Source organism: Homo sapiens, chromosome 3 (genome assembly GCF_000001405.40).
Source record: "Homo sapiens chromosome 3, GRCh38.p14 Primary Assembly".
NCBI lineage: Eukaryota > Metazoa > Chordata > Mammalia > Primates > Hominidae > Homo > Homo sapiens.
Window position 1 is genome coordinate 52,577,666 of NC_000003.12, and position 18,144 is coordinate 52,595,809.

The 18,144-nt window shown below is 41.0% G+C and overlaps 1 protein-coding gene across 160 annotated transcripts in view; it reads right to left on the reverse strand.

Annotated features, from left to right (window-relative positions):
* The window catches only part of PBRM1 (polybromo 1), a 140,547-nt gene that overhangs the window by 32,299 nt on the left and 90,104 nt on the right, over window positions 1–18,144 (reverse strand). For 102 of the 160 annotated variants that reach the window (NR_175959.1, NR_174502.1, NM_001405555.1 and 99 more), the window contains 4 exons: window positions 11,405–11,590; window positions 9,688–9,845; window positions 8,760–9,023; window positions 1,389–1,534 (listed from right to left, as the gene is read on the reverse strand). Coding sequence is in view for 158 of the 160 variants with exons in the window: in NM_001405555.1 (NP_001392484.1) it covers window positions 1,389–1,534; window positions 8,760–9,023; window positions 9,688–9,845; window positions 11,405–11,590 (754 nt within the window). In the remaining 2 variants the exon portion in view is untranslated. Of the gene's footprint in view, window positions 1–1,388; window positions 1,535–7,515; window positions 9,024–9,687; window positions 9,846–11,404; window positions 11,591–18,144 lie in introns of those variants that run through there. The other 58 variants (NM_001405585.1, NM_001394874.1, NM_001405573.1 and 55 more) reach the window with 5 other exon arrangements.

Consider the following 18,144-nt stretch of genomic DNA (forward strand, 5'->3'; position numbering starts at 1 on the left):
ACACTCCATTTATCAAGAATACTATTAATTTGACCTTCAAAATACTATCTTTTGCAATCACCCTGGTCTGAAGCATGATTGTTCTTGCCTGGATTATTGCAACAGCATCCTAGGCGGTGGATCTCCTTGCTTCTGCCTTGACTTTTTACAGTCTATTCTCAACAACCAATAGGCAGAGCAATCCTATTAAGATCTAAACCAAATGTCACTCTGTGCTTGAAACAATCGATGGCACTCCATTAACTCAGTAAAAACCCAAATCCCTATAATGGTCTCTGAGGCCCTATGTGATATGCACCCTACCCCTGGCACTTATCTCTTACTAACTCATTAATGGCTCACTCTCCTACTAACAAACAGGCCTGGCATGTTTCTCCTCAGGTGTTTATACTGGCTGTTCCCACTGCCTGGAATCCTTTCTCCCTGGATATTCACATTATTCACTTTCTCAGTTTCTTCAAGTGTTGGTTCAGCTGCCGACTTCTCAGTGAGGCCTATATAAACCATTCTCCCTGCTCTGACCATGGGACCCCCTTCTCCCCTTGTTCTCCTCTATTTTTTCTACGGCACGTATCATGACCTAACATACTATACACTTTACTTATTCAAGATGTTGTTTGTCTTCACACTAGAAAAAAGCTCCCCAGGAAAAAGAATATTTGTCTGTTTTATTCACTAATGTATCCACAGAGCCTGGTAAATAGTAGGTATAATAAATGCTTACTGAATGATGAACAGATATAAACTGAAGCCTAGAGGGCTAAATCATTCACCTAAGGACCTACAACTAACAGAGCTGGGACTCAGGGAATGAACTACTGTTCTTAGCCACTATCCTCTCCTACCCAACCCTATACCAGACTCTGCTGTGTTTGCCATTCAACCATACTGTCATCCTTTTGTCATTTACTTGTTCATCAAATATCTGAGGCCCTACTATGTTTCATGCACTATGATTTGAGCAGGGAATACAAGGGTGAAACCTGACAATAACACAATGAACACCGATATGTGATATATACGCTAAGGAGAAGGAAATATGTGGTGCTTTGAGAGTGTGCAACAGGGAGACTTAACCCATTCTGCAGTGGACAGGAAAGACTTCCTTTTAAGAAAGTGTCACTTCAAATTTATGCTAAAGGAGTTTACTGTATGAAGTAGGCAGGGAGATTTCTGAGCTGAAAGTTCTGTAAATAGTGGAAGAAAACAAAAGAGCCCAAAGGGATAATTTAAGGAAGAAAGTGTGGTTGGAGGGGAACATGGTGTGAGAAGAAGCTGGAGAAACTGCCAGGGGAAGGACTTTTGTCTTCATCCGAAGGGTGACTAATTTCTACTGGTTCCAAATTTCTCAGATTCAACCTCATCTTCCCTAATTCAATGACACTCACCTGCCCACACGAGGACGCACCAGGCCATGGGACTTGATGAAGACACAGTCGCCAACCTTCAGCCACATGTCATTGTAATGGAGCTGCTCAAAGTAGTGGCAACCTGGTTCACCATTGGACATTTCCACAGGGACATCTTCTTTTTCCTGTTGTAAAGAAAACTGGCTGAAGAAAGGTAGTTGATAATCAAGGAATAGAGAAGGTAAGAAACGAAAGCAGACTTTTCTTTCACATTAACTTAAAAGAAAAAACCACCATTGGTTACGTGGCTCACGTAATCCCAGCATTTTGGGAGGCCAAGGCAGGACGATCGCTTGAGCCCAAGAGTTTGAGACCAGCTTGGGCAACATAGTGAGACCTTGTCTCAACTGAAGAAAGAAATTAAAATAAAAAATTAGTTGGGCATGGTAGCGCATGCCTGTAGTCCCAGCTACTCAAAGAGACTGAGGTGGGTAGATCACTCGAGCTCAGGAGGTCGAGGCTACAGTGAGCTAGGATCACGCCATTGTACTCCAGCCTGGGCGACAGAGCAAGACCCTGTCTCAAGAAAAAAGTAAATTAAAACAAACAAACAAAAAAACATAAAGAGAAACTCTGAAGGAGGCTAGGAAACAAAACAATTAGATTATTGAAATAAACGAAGACTTATCAAGTATCTATTTGAAATTTCTAGTTAATTTTCATAAAACAATATTATCCCAAGATGCTTTTATCCTGTCTCCCTCCTGCTCTCAATTCCCACTGCCTTTAGAAACAAACAAAAAAACTGGAGAGGATTTATCGGTATTTAAAAGCAGACTCATTCATGCATTACTATAGTGTAAGGGGCAAATTCTATACAAGCTTCCTCTCTATCACATTTACTGGGCTCCCTTAATGTCTTAACATTAACAATTGATAAGATTTAGGCCAGGCACAGTGGCTTATGTCATAACCCCAGCACACTGGGAGGACAAGGTGGGAGGACTGCTTGAGCCAGGAGTTCAAGACCAGCCTGGGCAATACAGTGAGATCTCATTTCCAAAAAAATTTAAAAATTAGCTGTCTTTGGTGACATGCGCCTGTATTCACAGCTACTTGGGAGGCTGAGGTAGGAAGATTGCTTGGGCCTGGCAATTGGAGTTTGCAGTGAGCTGAGATCGTGCCACTGCACTCCAGCCTGGGAAACAGAATGAGACCCTATCTCAAACAAAAGAAAACAAACCACAAAAAACAACTGATAGATCTAAAATTTTTACTATTTTGATTTATTCCAACATGGAAAGGAATAGCATAGCCTCTGTGATATAAACATGCTTTTTTTGTTGTTGTTGTTGTTTTTTTGAGACATAGTCTCCCTCTGTCGCCCAGGCTGGAGTGCAGTGGCGCGATATTGGCTCACTGCAAGCTCCGCCTCCCGGGTTCACGCCATTCTCCTGCCTCAGCCTCTGGAGTAGCTGGGACTACAGGCACCCGCTACCATGCCCAGCTAATTTTTTTTTTGTATTTTTAGTAGAGACGGGGTTTCACTGTGTTAGCCAGGATGGTCTTGATCTCCTGACTTCGTGATCCACCCGCCTTGGCCTCCCAAAGTGCGGGGATTACAGGCGTGAGCCACTGCGCCCAGCCAAACATGCTCTGTTTTTTAATAAATTACAGCATCTGTCACCTAATGACTGCTATGGCTTTGGGCAAATTATTTGACCTCTTATGCCTTAGTTTCCTCATTTGTGAAATGAAGATAATGATAGTGTGGCCACCAGATAGGGTTGTTTACGAAGCTTAAGTGACATAATCCATGCTCAAGTACATAGAAAAATGCCTAACTCATAAAAACCACTTAACAGACATCATTATTACTGTTGTTTTATAGTCCTGACTAAAAAAGAAAAAGCAAAAAGAAGATACTTCTCACTAATGTAAAGATGGTAAAGAAGAACCATCATTTACTGAGAACCTAGCTGATAATCGGCACAAGGCTAGATGTTATAAATATATTAACTCCAAAACATATATAAGCTGAGGAAACTCCAAAGCCTCCAAGTTTTCTATAGCATCTTCCTGAGAATACTTCAAACTTCACACTTAAAAAAATTCCTCCTTCACAATGTCCAAATAATTTAACATTCTGATCTTTATGACTTCAAATGTGATACTGAAATGGTATTCTTGGAAAATGATTAAGAATGAGGGAAGGCCGGGAGTGGTGGCTTACGCCTGTAATCCCAGCACTTTGGAAGGCCAAGGCAGGCGGATCACTTGAGGCCAGGAGTTCGAGACCAGACTGGCCAACATGGTAAAACCCCATCTCTATTAAAGATACAAAAATTAGCCAGGCATGATGGTGCGCGCCTGTAGTCCCAGGAACTTGGGAAACTGAGACACAAGAATTGCTTGAACTCATGAGGCGGAGGTTGCAGTGAGCCGAGATTGTGCCGCTATACTCCAACCTGGGCAGACTCTGTCTCAAAAAAAAAAAAAAAAGAATCAGAGAGGTTCCATATACATGACAGGCAAGGGACATCTGAAAGAATGGAAGCTGTGAATAAAACAACCCATGAGATTAATAATACCTTTTCCTTTAAGGAATGGGTTCTATTCTAAAGTAATTCTTTTTTTTTTTTGATACGGAGTCTCCCTCTGTCTCCAGGCTGGAGTGCAGTGGCGCAATCCCGGCTCACTGCAACCTCTCCCTCCTGGGTTCAAGTGATTTTCCTGCCTCAACCTCCCGAGAAGCTGAGATTACAGGCACGTGCCACCACGCCTGGCTAATTTTTGTATTTTTAGTAGAGACAGGGTTTCACCATGTTGGCCTGGATGGTCGTGATCTCCTGACCTTGTGATCTGCCCGCCTCAGCCTCCCAAAGTGATGGGATTACAGGCATGAGCCACCGAGCACGGCCTAAAGTTATTCTTTAAAAAAGTTCCGGTCGGGAGTAGTGGCTCTCACCTGTAATCCCAGCACTTTGGGAAGGTGAGGTGGGTGGGTCACCTGAGGTCAGGAGTTCAAGACCAGCTTGACCAATATGGTAGAAATCCGTCTCTACTAAAAATACAAAAATAGCCGGGCATGGTGGCACACGCCTGTAGTCCCAGCTACTCAGGAGGCTAAGACAGGAGAATCACTTGAACCTGGGAAGTGGAGGCTGCAGTGAGCTGAGATTGCGCCACTGCACTCCAGCCTGGGCGACAGAGCGAGACTCCGTTTCAAAAAAAAAAAAAAAAGCTCCTGAATGACCTGTCTTGGTCATATAATATTGAAATAAAGATATGAGACCAAAAAAGACCAAGTAACTCATATACAGAGAGTTCCTAGAGACTTCTAAATACCAGGTAAGAAATCTAAGTTAATTATCATGCTGACTTCCATTGATAATTCTTTTTTTTTTTTTTTTCAGACGGAGTCTCGCTCTGTTGCCTAGGCTGGAATGCAGTGGCGTGATCTCAGCTCACTGCAGCCTCCACCTACTGGGTTCAAGTGATTCTCCTGCCTCAGCCTCCCAAGTAACTGGGATTATAGGCACCTGCCACCACGCCAACCTCCTCAGCCTCCCAAAGTGCTGGGATTACAGGTGTGAGCCACTGCACCCGACCGGATAATTCTGCTTTTAAAAGAAATTATTTTATGATTCCAACACATTCCCATACTGATAAAATATAAAAAATCACATTCTTTCCCAGCCCCATGATGTCGCCTCTTACGTAGAATCTTTCGGAGCACCTGTTTGAGTACTACCATTGGAGCATATTCTTTGCCATCAAACTGCTGGGTCAAAGACACCGGGCCGGGCACGGTGGCTCACGCCTGTAATCCCAGTACTTTGGGAGGCCGAGGCGGGCGGATCATGAGGTCAGGAGATCGAGACCATCCTGGCTAACACGATGAAACCCCGTCTCTACTAAAAATACAAAAAATTAGACGGGCGTGGTGGTGAGCGCCTGTAGTCCCAGCTACTCAGGAGGCTGAGGCAGGAGAATGGTGTGAACCCCGAAGATGGAGCTTGCAGTGAGCTGAGATCACGCCAATGCACTCCAGCCTTGGGGACAGAGTGAGACTCCATCTCAAAAAAAAAAAAAAAAAAAAAAAACTAATAGGGGCGGGGGCGGTGGCTCACACCTGTAATACTAGCACTTTGGGAGGCCGAGGCAGGCGGATCATCAGAGGTCAGGAGTTTGTGACCAGCCTGGCCAACATGGTGAAACCCTGTCTCTACTAAAAATACAAAAATTAGCTAGGTGCGGTGGTGCACACCTGCAATCCCAGCCACTCAGGAGGGTGAGGCAGCAGAATCACTTGAACCCAGGAAGGCGGACGTTACAGTGAGCTGAGATCACGCTACCGCACTTCAGCCTGGGCAACAGTGAGACTCCATCTAAAAAAAAACAAAAAAAAAAACACCAATAGGAGAAAAGTGTGTGTGGTCTCATCCTATACCAGGCTACACATATTATCAGTCTTTTCAACTCTTGCCATCCTGTTAGGTATTATACAAACTATTAGGTTAACTAATACATGTTTTTTGCTGCCTTCTTTCCGTAAATTATCTATTTGGGCCTCTGCTCATTTTTGTAGTCCTACTTTCCCCCCTAGACCCTAAAGAGCTCTTTGTATATTAGAAACAGTAACCCTAGACTGTTTTATTAACCTTGTATTTTCAATCATAAATCAATAAAATGATCAATGGTTTTATATAATGAACAGAAAATCCTCGTCTATTCCAAGTTTATTATTGAAAAAAAATTATAGGTAAATTACTGTTTTTCTAAATTAAATAAAATTCTAAAAATCTTCTGTAGAGACAAGGTCTTGCTATGTTGCCCAGGGTGGTCTGGAACTCCTGGCTTCAACTGATCCACTTGTCTTGGCATCCCAAAATGCTGGGATTACAGGCGTGTGACACTGTACTGGGTTTTAATTTTGTTTTTTAACTGTAGTTTTATAAAATGTAATACATCTGGCAGGGCAAAGTTCTAATTTTTAAATTTAAAAAAATCCCTCAGTTCACTATCAAAGGGCAAAGCTCTCTTTCATACCCCTTTTTCCCCCTTGTTTTCTGGTGACTGTCACATATTTATTCTTAATAAGAATGCTAGAATAATTTTGTCAAGTTTCAAAAACAATCTATGCAAGTCTTTTATGTCCTTCAGTAAATTTTTTTCCTAGAGGTTCTATATATTCCTTGTTAAGGTTATTTCTTAATTTGTTGTTAGTGTGAAATGGATATTTTCTCCCATAAGATTTTTCTAACAGTTGCTAAAGTGTATTCAACACTTTCACTTTACTTTCAAAAGTCTTACTAGTTTATATATGAAGACTATTCATTTACATATGGATTTTGAAATTTCTATTTGCTAAATTTTCTGTTTCCAACCTTTTCAGTTAATTTCCCCCAATTATCTGCAGAAAAGTATTCTTGCTTTTTTTTTTTTTTTTTTTTTTTTTGAGACGGTCTTGCTCTGTTGACCAGGCTAGAGTGCAGTGGTGCAATCACAATTTACTGCAGCCTCTACCTCCTGGGCTCATGGGATACCCCCATCTCAGCCATCCAAGTGGTTGGGTCTACAGGCATGTGCTACCATGCCTGGCTAATTTTTGTACTTTTTGTAGAGATGGGGTTTCACCATGATTCCCAGGCTAGTCTCAAAATCCTGGACTCAAGCGATCCACCTGCCCTGGCCTCCCAAAGTTCTAGGATTACAGGTATGAGCCAACACGCCTGCCATCTTGCTTCTTTATTGTCAATATTTTTACTGCTTTTGTTTATCTAACTACATTGGCTAATTTCAAAAAATATTAAGTAACACTAGAACAGTAAGCCCCTTTGTCCAGTGTGTAAATTTAAAAAGGAATTTGTTTTATAGGCTTCAGGCTTGAGACACAAATATGAATTTAAAAAAAAATTACACTAGAAGAAATACCTATTGAAAGTCTTAAAAAAAATCAAGATGGGTTCTCTACCAAATAATCTTTCCTTTGATCTAATGGAATAATGAATGAAATTTAAAGATCTCCCTAACTTTGAACAATTCTTGCTTTCTTAGAATGAATTCCCACTTCTTGGTCATGTTGTTCTCAAAGAAGTAATTTGATTTCACTTACTTTTTCCCCCAAGTAATTTTTGCATCAATATACATGAATAAGACTGAGTTGCAGTTTTTTGTTTTTATTTTTCAGGTTGTGAAATCAAGATTATCTTGGCTTTGCAAAACAAACTGGAAATTTCTTGTTCTCCCTGCTCTGAAACAGCTTCAACAGTATAATAATCATAGGTCCCTTAAAGAAAAAGTCACCTATGGAACTGTCTGACCTCAGTACTCTTTGGGGTCAGTTCTATGATACTTTAAAAAATTTCTTCATGTTGTTGTACATTCTGTATTATATCTCTTCTTGATTCCATTTTGGTAATTTGTAATATCCTAGACAATTAGCCATTTTATTTAGGTTTTCAAATTTATTAGCAGAAATATACAGTCTTTACATTTCTTCCACATTTATTTATTTATTTATTTTTTGAGACAGAGTTTCGCTCTTGTTGCCCAGGCTGGACTGCAATAGCACGATCTCGGCTCACTGCAACCTCTGCCTCCTGGGTTCAAGCGATTCTCCTGCCTCAGCCTCCCGTTGGGATTACAGGCACCCACCACCTCACCCAGCTAATTTTTTGTATTTTTAGTAGAGACAGGGTTTCACCACGTTGGCCAGGCTGGTCTCGAACTCCTGACCTCAGGTAATCCACCCATCTTGGCCTCCCAAAGTGCTGGGATTACAGGTGTGAGCCACCGCGCCTGGCCTTCTTCCACATTTTGTGTCGAAGTTTAACCCCTTTCTTTTCCCATTATTAGATAGTTGGCAGTTTATCTAATTGGACTTGTCAAATAATTAGCTCTTAGATTTACTTTAAAAAAATTTTTTGTTTTTTTGAGACAGAGACTCACTCTGTTGCCCAGGCTGGAGTAGAGTGGCGTGGTCTCAGCTCACTGCAGCCTCCGCCTCCCAGGTTCACGCCATTCTCCTGCCTCAGCCTCCTGGGTAGCTGGAATTACAGGCACGCGCCACCACACCCAGCTAATTTTTGTATTTTTAGTAGAGATGAGGTTTCACCATGTTGGTCAGGCTGGTCTCGAACTCCTGATCTCGTGATCTGCCCGCCTTGGCCTCCCAAAATGCTGGGATTACAGGCGTGAACCAATGCACTTGGCCTGATTTACTTTTAAATTATAATGTACAGTTTTGAAAGTGTAAATTTCTTTCTGTTATAGTTTCCTTCTTCCTGTTTGGCTAAGGTTTTGTGTTGTTGCTCTTTTTCTAAGTTTGAATACTTTATTCATTTATTTTCTGGAATAGGTGTTTTGAGATGTAAAATTTTTTCTGTGTGGCTATTATCTGCATACCTTTTCCAAGTTAAAATTGTCTTCAGCTCGACTGTCCTCTGAGTTGTCTGTATTCTTCTCATCATCACCTTTATCTGCATTTGCAAATACAGAGGCCACGCGAACCACAGGCAGAGGCACATCCCGAGGGACAAACCTGACTGAGCTGATGGGCATGGTCCACAGTTTAATTTTCTTAAAAGATTTGGTTTTGGCAGAATACCGTGATTCACAGACAAAAACATCCTCATCTCGGAAGTTTTCTGGGCATAACTTAAAGTATTCCTGGGGGGTGGGGAGGGCATAAGAATAAAACTAGTTAGGTGAATTTTCTGAAAATCAATCAAAAAAAAAAAAAAAAAAAGCAAATAACCAACCAACCAAACAAAAGCTGAACTGATTACAGACTTTCTGGCAGTTAACAAAAAATAATAAATGACCAGAGATTTAGAAGTATTTCTTTGGCTACGGAATGGACTTATTATATACACACCCTTTAAATTATAAAAACAAATAATTCCATTTAGCTTACAATTGCTCTTTGAAAACATATGAACATTTCATATAGCTATAATGTTCCTTAAAGCTTTGAAGAGGGCTTGTGTGTGTGTATCAGACAGACACACAAAAGCACACATTATTACCTAAAAAACAAACTGAAAATTTGTAATGATTATCCTTAAAAAAACATCATACTTAAAAATTAGCCTGGCAATATTAAAAACTTAACCTAACTGCATTATAGCCAAATAGTGTAAGCAGCAAGTGGTCTTTCACAACGAAGTTCAGGTTAATTTCTTCCCAAATCTTTTCATATAGCTATATAGACACGGCTTAAAAAATAGCTTAAAACAGAGTTCCTAATTTTGTAAACATCGATTATTTTCTGTGTTTTAAAATTTTATTCCTAGGGAATGAGTGAGACTTTGGGATTTAATGAGTTTCTTACCTTGACAAACATGACCACACACTTGCCTAGAATTTTACTAACTGGAACTTTGTTGTAATAGTCACTCTTAAAAACTTCTTTTTCTAGAAATTTTCGTGTAGCCAGGTGGAATGTTTCATTTGGTCGGTAAAACCAACAGCCATACAACCATTTTTCACCTCAAAAATGGGGGGTGGGGGAAGGGGAAGAGAAAGAGAATCATTGTTAACAGAAATCACTTTTTTTTTTTTTTTTTTTTAAAGAGACTGGGTCTCACTACGTTGCCCAGGCTGGACTTGAATTCCTGGGCCAAAGTGGTCCTCCAACCTCAGCCTCCTGAGTAGCTGGGACTACAAGTATAAGTCACTGTGTCCAGCTCAGAAATCACACATTCTTTGCAAAATTAGGAAATACACCATCAATCCACTCTGCCATGACATGAACCTAGCACTGTGCTTATTTTTACAGCTACAGTTTAATATAATTATCCACAGGAGAAATAATACTCAAAAATAATAAAGTGTAATGAGGCCTAAAAAATGCATGCTACTTTTCCCCCCTCATATATATATATATACACCCTCAACCTCTTGGGCTCAAGTGATCCTCCTGCCTCAGCCTCTCAAGTTGCTGGGACCACAGCAAGTGCAATCACACCCTGCTGATTTTCTTATTTTTTCTAGAGAAGGGGTCTTGCCATGTTGCCCAGGCTCTTCTTCATATTAAAAGCCATATAAAGTACATAATGAGGAGGACAGGTGATGAGACCTGCTCCACTCTGCTCTGGTTAGTACATACCTAGAGTTGTGCACTTTAGTAAGGGGACAGATATGCTACTGAAGGACATATTTAGCTCTCTGGTGAAGGAATACAAAAGTATTTCATGTGATAGGCAGCTCAAAGAACTGGATTGCCTGGATCACATTTCCACCAACTTCTGGCTTCATTAATTTCTATGCATACTCCATGTCTCAATTTAAAGGCAACTGTTCTAGAAAGCCTTTTTGAAAACAAATGCTAAGCCAAGGCATGTCATTCTATAATAATTTCTTTTTTGATCATAATCTTCCTTACTGGAGTAGTTTTGCAAGGGAAAATATGAGCTTTTTGTTCTTCTGAATCTATGTCACTCTACATAAAGTTTGGCTCAAAGTATGTTTTTAATAAGTATCAAATGAATGAATGAATCTCAACCAGACTTTAAGAAGCTGTATTTCTTTCTTTTTTTTTTTTTTTTTTTTTGAGACAGTCTCACTCTGTCACCCAGGCTGGAGTGCAGTGGCGTGATCTCGGCTCCCTTGCAAGCTCCGCCTCCTGGGTTCACGCCATTCTCCTGCCTCAGCCTCCCGAGTAGCTGGGACTACAGGCGCCCGCCACCAGGCCCAGCTCATTTTTTGTATCTTTTTAGTAGAGACAGGGTTTCACTGTGTTAGCCAGGATGGTCTCGATTTCCTGACCTTGTGATCTGCCCGCCTCAGCCTCCCAAAGTGCTGGGATTACAGGCGTGAGCCACCGCGCCCGACCTAGAAGCTGTATTTCTTTTGACTCAACTGTGACACTTGCCCAATAGGTCCTATGTTTTTCATATGATGGGTGCTTACTTACATTTATTGACATATTGAACAATTATTATGGAAAGGCTTAAGATGTCTGAGTTAAAATTTTCTTCCCTGAGGAGCAAGGAGAAGTCAAACAGTCATATCTCACTAAACTGTCCTTTGATTTAAAACAAACTTACCAGCTGAATCCTCCCACAGTCTTTCAATACAGACGATATGTGGTTGTAGGTTGGCCTCTGCAGGTTCCACATAGACGTAATCTCCAACATGGTACATGCTGTTTTTAAAGCTACAGTCCTGGCTGTATGTGCGATGTAAGCCTGAGAGGCCTGCAGCACCAGAGGAATCTTCACTCTTTTCAGCTTCTTAGGTAAAAAAATAAATAAATAAAGGAAAAAGGTACTCACCAAAGGGATGCTGAAGTCAGATGTAGGGTTCAAACAACACATACTAATAATACATTTAATACATTTAATTCCATTTGCAACATGCGAAGGCAGGAATCAGCAATAGTATGATCTTCACATTCCTAATAGCCTCTACTCAAAACTATCTTTGAATTACAACCATCATTAATTTAAATGAATATATAACTACACAAAGGATGTAGAGAATAAAAACATCACCTTACTAATATATGATCATATGGACATTTTGGATAATATCGAAAGGCACAAAGAAGTACGTATGTCGTTTCGAATCAAGTAATTCTAGAGATAATCTCTGATATACTTCATCCCCACCTTAATGCTTCTTAATGTGTTTCATTTCACTAAGTTATTACACGAATATGACACATTTAATGGAGTCTTAGAATTGAAGAAATATAGAATACATATATTCTACAATATACTATAAACTATATCTAGTATATATACTTAATATATCAAGAACACTAGCCCTGAGAGGAAATGCTTTTCAAAATGACTTTTATTTTTATTTATTTATTTTTTTCGAGACGGAGTTTCGCTCTTGTTGCCCAGGCTGGAGTGCAATGGCACAATCTCAGCTCACCACAACCTCTGCCTCCCAGGTTCAAGCAATTCTCCTGCCTCAGCCTCCCGAGTAGCTGGGATTACAGGCATGCACCACCACGCCTGGCTAATTTTGTATTTTTAGTAGAGATGGGGTTTCTCCATCTTGGTCAGGCTGGTCTCGATCTCTCGACCTGAGATCCGCCTGCCTCAGCCTCCCAAAATGCTGGGATTATAGGCGTGAGCCACCGCGCCCAGATGACTTTTATTTTTGTTAAGTAAAACTTATTAATAGTTCCAGTACAGGCCGGTAGCGGCAGCTCACGCCTGTAATCCCAGCACTTTGGGAGGCCGAGGCGGGCGGATCACTTGAGGTCAAGAAGAGTTCAAGGCCAGCCTGGCCAACATGGTGAAACCCCATCTCTACTAAAAATATTAAAAAATTAGCCAGCATGATGGCAGGTGCCTGTAGTCCCAGCTACTTGGGAGGTTGAGACAGAAGAATCGCTTAAACCTGGGAGGTGAATGTTGTAGTGAGCCAAGATCAGGCCACTGCACTCCAGCCTGGGTGACAGAGCAATACTCCATTTCAAAAGAAAAAAAAAAAAGTTCCAGTACAAGCTATCGTTTGCAAATATCACAGGGTTTTTATTGAGGATAAAGCTTTGCCCAAATCTTTGATTACTTCCTTAGGTTAATTTCCCATAAATGGAAGAGCTAATAATAAGCATTTTAAATGTTATTTATTTTATTCCTCCTGAAACATTAAATTTTCTTTTTCTTTTTTTAGACAGTCTCACTCTGTCACCCAGAGTCTTGAACTCCTGACCTCAAGTGATCTGCCCGCCTTAGCCTCCTAAAGTGCTGGGATTACAAGCGTGAGCCACCGTGCCTGGCTATCTAAATTTTAAAATAGTTTTTCTAGTTCTGTGAAGAATGTCATTGGTAATTTCATACGATTAGGACTGAATCTGTAAATTGCTTTGGGCAGTATGGCCATTTTAATAACATTGATTCTTCCTATCCATGAGCATGGAATGTTTTCCCATTTGCATCTGTCATCTCTGATTTCTTTGGGCAGTGAGTAATTCTCATTGTAGGGATCTTTCACCTCCCTGGTTAGCTGTATTTCCAGGTATTTTATTCTTTTTGTGGCAATTGTGAATGACAATGCGTTCCTGATCTAGCTCTTGGCTTGGCTGCTATTGGTGTATAAGAATGATAGTGATTTTTGTATACTGATTGTGTATCCTGACACTTTGCTGAAGTTTATCAGCTGAAGGAGCTTTTGGGCTGAGACTATGGGTTTATTAGATATAGAATTAAGTCATCTGCAAAGAGACGTAGTTTGACTTCCCTCTTCCTATTTGAATACCCTTTATTTCTCTCTCTTACCTGACTGCCCTGGCCAGGACTTCCAGTACTATGTTGAATAGGAGTGGTGGGAGACAGCATTCTTGTCTTGTGTCAGTTTTCAAAGGGAATGTTTCCAGCTTTTGGTTATTTCAGCATGACGTTGGGTGGCTTTGTAATAGATGGCTCTTATTATTTAGAAGTATGTTTCTTTAATACCTAGTTTATCTAGAGTTTTTAATATGTCAAAAAGCCTTTTCTACATCTATTGAGATAATGTAGTTTTTGTCTTTGTTTTTTTTTTTTTTTTTTTTTTTTTGAGACGGAGTCTTGCTCTTGTCTCCCAGGCTGGAGTGCAGTGGCATGATCTCGGCTCACTGCAACCCCCGCCTCCCAAGTTCAAGCAATTCTCCAGCTTCAGCCTCCTGAGTAGCTGAGATTACAGATGCCCACCACCATGCCCGGCTAATTTTTGTATTTTCAGTAGAGATGGGGTTTCACCATCTTGGCCAGGCTGGTCTTGAACTTCTCACCTCGTGATCCACCCGCCCCGGCCTCCCAAGCTGTTGGGATTACAGGCGTCAGCCACTGCGCCCGGCCTTTTTTTTTTTTTTTTTTTTTGACATAGTCTTGCTCTGATGCTCTGATGCCCAGGCTGGAATGCAGTGGCGCCATCTCGGCTCACTGCAACCTCTGCCTCCCAGGTTCAAGCAATTCTCCTGCCTCAGCCTCCCAAGTAGCTGGGATTACAGGTGCCCACGACCATGCCCGGCTAATTTTTGTATTTTTAGTAGAGATGGGGTTTCACCATCTTGGCCAGGCTGGTCTTGAACTCCTGACCTTGTGATCCACCCGCCTCAGCCTCCCAAGGTACTGGGATTACAGGTGTGAGCCACTGCACCAGGTTTTTTTTTTTTTTTTTTTTTTAAGACTTGAGATGGATTCTCGCTCTGTCGCCCAGGCTGGAGTGCAGTGGTGCGATCTTGGCTCACTGCAGTCTGCCTCCTGGGTTCAAGTGATTCTCCTGCCTCGGCCTCTCGAATAGCTAGGACTACAGGTGCGTGCCACCACACCTGGCTAATTTTTGTATTGTTTCTAGAGACAGGGTTTCACCATGTTGGTCAGGCTGGTCTCGAACTCCTGACCTCAGGTGATCCACCCACCTTGGCCTACCAAAGTGCTGGGATTACAGGCATGAGCCACCACACCTGGCTGTCTTTAGTTCTTTTTTATGTGATGAATCACATTTATTGATTTGCGTATGCTGAACCAACCTTGCATCCCAGGGATAAAGCCTACTTGACCATGGTGGATTAGCTATTTGATATACTGCTGGATTTGGTTTGCTAGTTATTTTCTTAAGGATTTCTGCATTAATAAACATCAAGGATACTGGCCTAGTTTTTTCTGTTATCTCTGCCAGGTTTTGGTATCAGGATGATGCTGGCCTCAAAGAATGAGTTGGGGAGGAGTCCTTTCTCCTCAGTTATTTGGAACAGTTTCAGTAGAAATGGTACCAGCTCTTCTTTGTACATCTGGTAGAATTTGGCTGTGAATTCACCTGGTCCTGGGCCTTTCTTGGTTGCTAGGCTATACATTACTAATTCAATCTCAGAGCTTGTTATTGGTCTGTTCAGGGATTCAAGTTCCTCCTGGTTTCAGTCTTGCGAGGGTGTATGTGTTCAGGAATTTATCCATTTCTTCTAGATTTTCTAGTTTGTGTGCATAGAGGTGTTCATAGTAGTATCTGCTAGTTATTTGTATTTCTGAGGGGTCAGTGGCAACACCCGCTTTGTTGTTTCTAATTGTGTTTACTTGGATTTTTTCTCTTCTTCATTATTCTAGCTAGCGGTCCATCTTACCAACTTTTTCAAAAAACCAACTCCTAGATTTGTTAATCTTTTGAATGGTTTTTCCTGTCTCAGTCTCCTTCAGTTTTCAGCTCTGATTATTTCTTTTTTTCTGCTAGCTTTGGGAATGGTTTGCTCTTGCTTTTCTAGTTCTTTCTCCTATGAAGTTAGGTTGTTAATTTGAGATCTTTCTTTTTTTTTTTAAACAAGAGTCTTGCTCTGTCACCCAGGCTGCAGTGCAGTGGCACAATCTTGGCTCACTGCCACCTCCACCTCCTTGTGCCTCAGCCTTCCGAATAGCTGGGACTACAGGCACACACTGCCATACCCAGCTAAATTTTGCATTTTTAGTAGAGAAGAGGTTTTGCCATGTTGGCTAGGGTGGTCTCAAACTGCTAGCCTGAAGCAATCCACTCTCCTTGGCCTCCCAAAATGCTTGGATTATAGGCATGAGCCACCGTGCCTGGCCATTGACCTATCTTTTTGATGTGGGTGTTTAGTGTGATAAATTTCCCTCTTAACACTGCCTTAGCTGTGTCCCAGAGATTCTGGTATGTTGTGTCTTTGTTTTTGTTCGTTTCAAAGAACTTCTTGATATCTACCTTAATTTCATTATTTACCCAAAAGTCATCCAGGAGTAGGTTGGTTAATTTCCATATAATTGTATGGTTTTGAGTGATTTTGTCTTGATTTCTATTTTTATTGTGCTGTGGTCTAAGAGAGTGGTTGGTATAATTTTCCTTCTTTTGCATTTTCTGAGGATTGTTTTATGTCCAATTGTGTGGTTGATATTAGAGTATGTCCCATGTGGTAATGAGAAGAATGCATATTCTGTTGATCTTTGGGTGGAGAGTTCTCTAGATGTCTATCAGGTACATTTGGCCCAGTGTTGTGTTCAGGTCCGGAATATCATTGTTAATTTTCTGCTCTGATGGTCTGTCTAGTACCGTCAGTTGGGTATTAAAGTCTCCCCGTATTGTGTGGGAGTTTTAAGAGATGAGGTGAGGTCCTGCTGTGTTACCCAGGCTGCTCTTGAAGGCCTAGGCTCAAGCAATCCTCCTGTCTTGGCCTCCCACAGTGTTGGGATTACAGGCATGAGCCACTATACCCAGGCCTTTTTCTTTTTTTATTGTGTGGGAGTGTAAGCCTCTCTGAAGGTCTCTAAGAACTTGCTTTATGAGTCTGGGTGCTCCTGTATTGTGTGCATATATTATTTAGGATAAGTCTTCTTGTTGAAATGAACCCTTTACCATTATGTAGTGCCCTTCTTTGTCTTTTTTGGTCTTTGTTGGTTTAAAGTCTGTTTTGTCTGAAATGAGATTACAACCCTTGCTTTTTTCTGTTTTCCATTTGCTTGGTAGATTTTTCTCCATGTCTTTATTTTGAGCTTATGGGTGTCATTATGGGTCTCATGGGATGAGAGATGGGTCTCTTGAAGACAGCATCCCATTAGACCTTGCTTATTTATCCAGCTTGCCACTCTTGTTTCTTTTAATTGGAGTATTTAGCCCATTTACATTCAAGGTCAGTATTGATATGTATGGATCTGATCTTGTCATTGTGTTGTTAGCTGGAAGCAATCTTGTTTGTGTTGTGTCATTGGTCTATATACTTCAGTGTGTTTTTGTAGTGTCTGGTAACAGTCTTTCCTTTTCATATTTAGTGCTTCTTTTGGGAGCTACTGTAAGGCAGGTCTGGTGGTAACAAATTCCCTCAGCATCTGCTTGAGGAAAAAGGACTCTATTTCTCCTTTGCTTATGAAGCTTGGTTTGGCCGGACAGAAATTACTGGTTGGAATTTCTTTTCCTTAAGAATGTTGAATATAGGCCCCCAATCTCTTCTTGGCTTGCAGCGTTTGTGCTGACAGGTGCACAGTCAGTCTTCTGGGCTTCCCTTTGAAGGTGACCTGTCATTTTTTTCTTTCATTTTGACCTTGGAGAATCTAGTGATTGTGTGTCTTGGAGATGATCTTGTGAAGTATTTTGTGGGGATTCTCTGAGTTTCCTGAATTGCAATGTTGGAGGAAAGAAGGCACTCTGGCTTCTGAATTGTCAGAGTTCTTGTGCTGGTTCTTTCTCATCTTTGTGGGCTAAAGTTCCTTCAATCTTTAAAGTTGCTGTCCTTTGGCTATTTTTTTTTTCATTCTTTTATCCTATTTGATGACCTTGGGTGTTTGATTGTGGTATAAGATGGGTTCAGTTGATGGGCTTAGTTTCTAGAGGATTTTAGGGGGCCAAGGCTCAGCTCAGGACTCCTGGACTGTGTGCCCCAACTCTGGGGTACTAGTATCAGGCCCTGGCTTTTGGATAAAAGCCATTTTAACTGGAGTGATATGATATCTCATTGTTTGTTCTGATGATCAGTGATGTTGAGCACCTTTTCATATACCTGTCTGCCATTTGTATGTCTCCTTTTGGGAAATGTATATTCAGGTCTTTCGCCCACTTTTTAATTGGATTATTAGATTTTCTCTTAAGGAGTTGAGTTCCTCATACATTCTGGTAACTAATCCATTGTGAGATGGTTAGTTTGCAGATAGTTTTTTCCCACTCTGTGGGTTGTCCCCTCACTTTGTTTCCTCTGCTGTGCAGAGGCTTTTTAACTTGATGTAATCCCATTTATCTACTTTTGCTTTGGTTGCCTGTGCCTGTGGGGAATTACTCAAGAAATTTTTGCCTAGTCCAGTTTTATTCCAGTAGTTTCATAGTTTCAGGTATTAGATTTAAGTCTTTAATCCATTTT